General features: G+C 50.1%; 1 annotated feature.

The window, feature by feature from the left end:
* Positions 1,373 to 2,572: an enhancer, noted in NCBI's record as "P300/CBP strongly-dependent group 1 enhancer chrX:68369986-68371185 (GRCh37/hg19 assembly coordinates)". NCBI's record gives its function as "activates an origin of replication core promoter dependent on BRD2, BRD4, P300/CBP, MED14 and CDK7 cofactors, with strong dependence on P300/CBP, by STARR-seq in HCT116 cells {active_cell/tissue: HCT116}" and the evidence as "EXISTENCE:reporter gene assay evidence [ECO:0000049][PMID:35650434]".

The following is a 7,142-nucleotide window of genomic DNA, read 5'->3' on the forward strand; positions in this document are numbered from 1 at the left end:
AAGTCATTTATCCAAAGACACACAAGGCTACTAAATGACAAAGCCAGGATTTGAATCCTAGGCTGTGTGATGATAAAGTTATCCTCTGTTCACACTATGCTGCCCCTGACCCCAAGAGAACTGTGGACAAGCACACAATAATACTAACAGGCTCATGGCACTGTCCAGGCACTGTTCTATGTCCCTTATGCATATTATCTCATTTAATGCTCATCACACCCCTATCAGGTAGGTATCATGATTATCCTCCTCACTACATAGGGAACACTGAGGCACAGAGACATTAAGTCACCTATCTAAGGCTACCCAGCTGCCAAGTGGCAGAGCTGAGATATGAAGCTGGCCATCTGGCTCCGGTGTCCTTAACCACTTCCCCATGCAGCGTTTTAGGCCAAGCTGTCTTGCCCAGGCTGTGGCCTGAAGGAGGCACCACCTATGAGCCTCTCGGTTAGTGGCAGCAGGGAAACAACCCAGGCCCTCCTCTGCAGGCTGGATCCAGCATGCCCTCCCCAGGAGTAGCGAGCCACCATGCCCACCTTTTTTTTTTTTTTTCTCGAGACAGAGTCTCACTCTGTCACCCAGGCTGGAGTGCAGTGGCAAGATCTCGTCTCACTGCAACCTCTGCCTCCCAGGTTCAAGCGATTCTCCCGCCTCAGCCTCCCAAGTAGCTGGGACTGCAGGCGCCAGCCACCATGCCTGGCTAATTTTTTGTATTTTTTTAGTAGAGACAGGCTTCGCCATGTTGGCCAGGCTGGTCTCAAACTCCTGACCTCAGGTGATCTACCCACCTCAGCCTCCCACAGAGCTGGAATTACAGGCGTGAGCCACCATGCCCGGCCATGCCCACCTTTTAAGAGAGCTCAGTCAAGCAGAAGCAAGCTCAGCCTGACAGAGAGGCAAGATGGTGTAGTGGAAAGAATGTGTCCTCTAGCATCAGACAAACCTAAGTTGAAATTTTGGGTTTGGAAATTACTTTGTGGCCTTGGGCAACTCACTGAACTTCTGTGGATGTCAGTGTCCCACATCACTAAGGGCTGTTGTGAGAAGTAAATGAAATGGCTATATAGAAAAGTGAATTATATACTCTAAAGTGCTCTTGAAGGTTAGTTCTAATTGTTAGTTGTTCTATAGGGCTAAGTTCCTTGGCCCAGGCTGGGCCACAGCGGCGACAGGGAGAAGGGGGCTTTAGAAATGCTAATACCATGCGTGAGTGACAGTGCGAGGACAATGGAGGAGGGCGCTGTGAATGGGGCCGCCGAGGCCTGGGAGCCGGGCTCCCCACGTGGGAGCCGGGTGGGGGAGGGGCGGGAGGGGAGAAGCGGGTCCCAGCCTAGGGACTCCGAGCATGGGCTAATTGGAAGGGGCTGCAGCTCCGGGGGCAGGAAGGGGGAGGGGATTACCTGCTGGTCGGCCGCGGAGGGGCGGGGCTCCGAGGAGGTGGCGGGCCCTGCCGGCACGGGGAGGGGGCGCCGGAAGAGCCTTGACCCTCTGACCTGGAGACCCGGAGAAAAACGGTGGGGAAGCCGGGGGAAAAAGGCCCTGGGCCTAGGCCTGCTGGGGTGAAAACTGAGCAAGGGGTTTGGGGATGGGCAACTCTAGGTCCAAACCTCTTCTGGAGGTAGGAAAGACGTGACAGCTAGTTTCCAAACTCAGCTCGGGTCCTGACCACCTTGGGTTGACTTGGGAATCAGCCTCCCCAGAGAGAGAGAGCCAGCGAGAGGTGTGCGGTTGGGTGTGATGGGCTGGAGGGTAGGGGGAGGCAAAAGGTGGATTCTTACCTTCTTTTCTTCCCCCCCACGCTCCTCACCCCATCTCTTCCCTCTCTTCCTCTTCCCTCACCCCTCTCCTTTTGCCCTTCCCTCCCCTCCCCCTCCACCATGAAGGCTGTTTTTGTTCCTCCTCCTGGCCTAGCCCCTGAGGTGTGCAAACAGGAAAGACCTCTCCCTGGGCAGTGAGTAAGGAGGGAAAAATGAGGTGTTGAAAAGATGACAAGTCGCCCTGTCAGAGCTCACCTTGGCAGGGAGCAGGCGGCAGGGGCCTGTGGGTGGTTGGGGGAGGTCGGCCCTGGAAGCCAGCCTACATGTACCCAGAGCCAGGCAAGCTGATACGCAACAAGCAGGCACTGTGTATGCGTTTGTTTGGTTTAGAAAAGTCTAGCCCCCTCCCATTCCCACCATCAAAGATTCCTTCCTTTCCTTCCCAGTCGGAAGAGTAAAAGCCGCTGGGCCAGTGGTTTAGTGTATGATTGAAGGGGAAGGGGCAGTGGGAGAGGGCTGGGCAGGAGGCCCAAATCCGTCTTCTAAACTCCAAGACTTGGATCCCAAAGCCTCCTGGACATCCCTTGCATGTTTCAAAGGCACCTCGCACTTGACACATCCTAACCTGAATTCATCAATGCCACTTTCCACACCCGTGCATTCGGTCTCTCCTATATGGCTCCTATCTCAGTAAATGACCTCATCTTTCAGCCACCCAAGCCAAAATCTTGGGAGTCATCCAAGACTTCCTCATATCACCATTTGGATTGGTCTCCCAATCTGTTCAGTTCCCTCTTATCTCTCAAATCTGTCTCATCTCTCTTCCCTGTGGCCACGACCCTATGTCAGCTTCCTTCATTCATTTACTCATTCGGCAACTTTTTATTAAGCCCTTACCATGTGCCAGGCACTGTGCTAGCCACTGAAGATTTGGCTGTGAATAAATCCAATCTGGTTCACAGTCCCATGGAGTTTTCTGTCAGGCACAGCTGGGCTCGCTGCAGTGGGATGGGGCCAACAAGACGAGCCAGAACACGATGGTTAAAAGCAGGTATTCAGGCCAGGCGTGGTGGCTCACGCCTGTAATCCCAGCACTTTGGGAGGCCAAGGCAGGCAGATCACCTGAGGTCAGGAGTTCGAGACCAGCCTGGGCAACATGGTGAAACCCCATCTCTACTAAAAATACAAGTGGCTCTACCACTTATAACTGTGTGGCCTTGGGCAAGTCACTTAATCTCCCTGTGCTTGTTTTCTTGTGTGGAAGATGCGGGTGATGATAGCACCTACCTCATAGGGCTAATCTCAGGGTTGACTACATTGATATTTTAAAGTGCCAGCTAGCACAGTGTTCTATTCGCATTGTTAATTTTATTATTTAAAATATGCAGTGAGGCAAGGCCTGACCATAAACCAAGTTCCAGGAGTCCAGGGGGAGGCCAGGCTAGGCTGGGAAGCAGTGGGTTGGATTGCAAGAATATGACAGCAGGAGCTTGCCATGGTCCTGTCAAGAAGTCAGCATAAGCAAATCCAACCGAGTCCTCATTAGCTGGCAGAGGCCTGTCATAGGACCTCCAGGTGCAGCATCCAGAAATCCAAAGGATAGGAAGCAAAGGGTAGCATAACAGTTACTGCCAAGAAGGCTGGAGTAGCAGCTCCAGCTCTGCTGCTTCCTAGCTATGTGACCCTGAACAGGTCATTCCCCCTTCTGAGCCTCAGTTTCCTAAGGATGGCAGTTAGCAAGTGCTGAGAGCTTAATATGTGCCAGGCACTGTCCTATGCACCTGCTCCCTGCAAAGGGAGCTACTATTATTTAACTCCCATTTTACAGATGAGAAAACTGAGGCACAGAGCACTTCAGGCTCTTGCCCAAGGTCACAGAGCAAGTGAAGTGCAAAACTAAGACCTGAAGGCAGGTATCTTTGAGACTAGTGATCAGAGCACCTTCCTTATACAGCTGCTGTGAAAATTCACTGAGATGATACTTAGGGAAGTGTTTAAACAGGCTGGCAGGCTGCCCAGGAAGGACTGTCATCAGACTGTGGGCTCTTGTCACTGGGCTGAGGCTACAAAGGCAAAAGGAAGCCTGAGCCTCAGGCATCAAACAGGCCCTGAGGCAGCATCAGCAACTCCAGGAACAGGCCAGAATTCCGCTGGTCAGAAGCAGGGCTCAAGGTTAAGCCTGGGCTAGTGGCCAAGGGAACTAACCCATGAGACTGAGGGCAGAGACCATTTAAGTCACTTTTGGATTCCCCAGTGCTCCACAAAAGGAAGTACTTAATAAATATAGGAAGGAAATGGCACTTTTAGAGTGCCTCCTGTGTACGGCCACTGCACTAGTCCCTCATGCCCTCTTTGAAGCAGTCCTGTGAGGTTATTATCCCCCTTCAACTGATAAGGAAACTGAGGCTCAGAGAGGTGAAGTTTCTCACTAAGGGCCCAGAGCTGATGAGTAGTCAGGTGACTCTTCCAACCTAGAGAAGAGAGAGGGGAAAAAAAAAAAAAAGGACAAAGAACCCCTCCCATTCATGGCAGTGGAGGAAGGTGCATTTTAACACCCCAATTGACAATTCTCTGATGATCATGGGCCTTACCACCTCTGCCTCACACTACCCATCTATGGCCAATGGACAAGCTCTACCTCTGCAGAGCCAGCACAGGACGAGATTTGCACTTATATGTCCTAAGCCTTCACTGACAACCCTTGGGGACAGGGCCATAGAAGCCCCCACCCTCGCTGGCCTCAAAACTTGGTGCTGTGGGACATTTTCACATGAGAACGAAGAGACCAGCAGGAATTTCCGACTCCCACAGCCCTAGATAAGATCCCAGGTCAGCTACCCTCTTAGCTGAGGGGACTCTGGGCAAGCTTTGGGCCTTTCTTTTCCCAGTGCCCAGCCTGGGAGGGAGGAGTCAATGTGGCAGCCATGTCTAATCAGGCGGGGCCCCATGACACAGAAGCTCCTTCATCTAGGCCTGCGGAGGGGTCAGACTGGGGTTCTGGGAGGGGCCAGAGGAGACACAGAGCCCATCCAGCCCAGACCAGCCCACATTCCTCAGCAGGCCTGGATGGGGTGAGCATGCGCAACAGGAAGCCAAGCCCTTCACCAAGAGGCTAAGCTGCCATCTGTGCATGCAGACAGCAGTGAGCAAAGGGCCTGGGCCAGCGGAGTCAATTGCACAGAAAAAAAATAGCAAACATTTTGCTTCCTCCCCCTACCCCAGCCCCCACCCCACCATGGTGCAACACTCAGCTTCCAAAGGGAATGTTGGACTCCTGCTAACTATTTTTCTCCAGACTGGGGCCAGGCATCCAGAGTCAGCCTTGCTAAGTTGCTGAAGAGAGAATGATGGGGTGGAGGGATTCTTTCTACCCAGGGAGTAGTTTGTTTGTTTGTTTGTTTTCCTTCTGAACCTTGAGCTCCCACTGCTCCAGCCCAGAAAAAAAAGAGCTAGGAAAAACAACAACAGTCCCATTAAGATGGTATAGTATATTTTGTCTATCTATCATTTCATTTGCTCATTCCCACCACTCTATGGGATAGGGATTTTTTTTTGGGTCCCATTTTATAAATAAGCAAACCAAAGCTGAGAGAGGGCATATGCTTGATCAAGACTCACAGTTAATTAGCACTAAAACTGCTTCAGACCCAGGTCTGACTCCAAATGCTGTGGTCGTTCCACTAGGCGACATTGCCTGGGTGCAAAGCCTCTTTGCAACTCCAACATAGGACCAGGGTGGCCAACGAGGGCCCGCTTGGCTTCCCTCAGGAAGATCCCGGCCTGAGAGGTTTCAGTCAGTGTTCGAGCAACATTTGAATTGTCTTTTAATTATTTCCCCCCAATCATCTGCTTGTTGAAGAGAATTTAAGAAATGCCCTCAAAAAGGAAAGACACTTAAAATTACCTATATCCCACCACTGAGAGAGAACCACTGTTAGCTAACTTCATGGTAGGTTTCCTGATAATCTTTTTATTATGCACATATACAATGTGAAGATCTCTTTTACATACCTGAGATCATGGTGGACCTGCTTTGAGTGCTGGGCCACCTTCCAGCCCCCACATCATATCTTCATGAGGCCAGCTCAACTGCAGTTCTTCTCTCTTGGAGACCTGCTGGAGCCAAAATTTCTGGTTCCCCACCGGGGGCCTGGCCTTGTAGCTGAAAGTCTCGACTGGCGTTTTCCCATTTATATCCTGACAATAGACTCCCCAGTTCATTACTACATTACTAGATGTCACGTGGGAGGGTCTTTCTTTAACTCAGGGTCTCACATGCACAACACACACACACACACACACACACACACACACACACACACACACACACGGTACTGTTTCATACCTCCAGGCCTTCGTTCATTCAGGCCCCTTTGCCTGAGATTTCTGCCCTTTTTTCTCCCTCCCTCCCTCTTTCTCTGTCTCTGTCATGTATGCACATGGTAAAAAAAAAAAAAAAAAAAAAAAGAAAAGAAAGAAAGAAAACAAACAAAAATAAAAACAATCAAATTAACATAACAAAAACTCCAAAAGAGAAAAAGAGCATACACTGAGAAGCGAGGCTCCTCTTGTCCCTCACCTTGGCCCCTGTTTCTTATATATCATCTTTCCTGAGATATTCTGTATATTGGTTAGTACAAATGAAAATGTATCTTTTGTGAACCATGAATGATAATAACTGCCCACTGTTGGACACCTTGCTTTTGTAACTTCTTGATTTTTTGATACTGTTGCACGGCAATAACTGTGGATGTGCCTCATGCTGGGTACAGGCTGTCTAGCGAAGTATCTGATGGCTGTGCCATAATTTATTAAACCGGGCCCCTAGTAATGGATATTTAAATGCCTTTCTGTCTCTTGCTACTACAAACAATGCAACAATAAAGATACTTGTAAAAACAACCTTGTGCTTTTGCACATGTAGCATAAATTCCTACTACTGGAATTGCTGGGTCAGAAAGTATGTGGATTTTAAATGTTAATACATTTTACTAAAGGGCCCTTCAAACAAATGGTAACAATTGACACCCCCACCGTTAAAGACAACCCCACAAAGACAACGTAGAAAGGGCCCATCCTACACTCCCTTTCCTTACCTGTTTGGTGCTTCTGAGGCCCAGCCCCCTCCCAGCTGGGCCAGCCAGGCTCTTTGCTCTCAGGTCACCCTATGCCTGCCTCCACATTGCCTTTCACAAAGAATATGGCAAACCTATGTTTGTCTGTCTCCCACACTAGACTGTCAGCTTTTTGAGGGAAGGACTAAGCCCTACTCATCTCTTGCAGGCCCCAACTGAACACACCACAGGCAGAAGCTCAATCAATATTTGTTGAACTAAACTAGCCAGCTCTGAATCTCCATCTTTGAGTGCAAGAGTGGGCAGAAAT

This window comes from Homo sapiens, chromosome X (genome assembly GCF_000001405.40).
Source record: "Homo sapiens chromosome X, GRCh38.p14 Primary Assembly".
Classification (NCBI taxonomy): domain Eukaryota; kingdom Metazoa; phylum Chordata; class Mammalia; order Primates; family Hominidae; genus Homo; species Homo sapiens.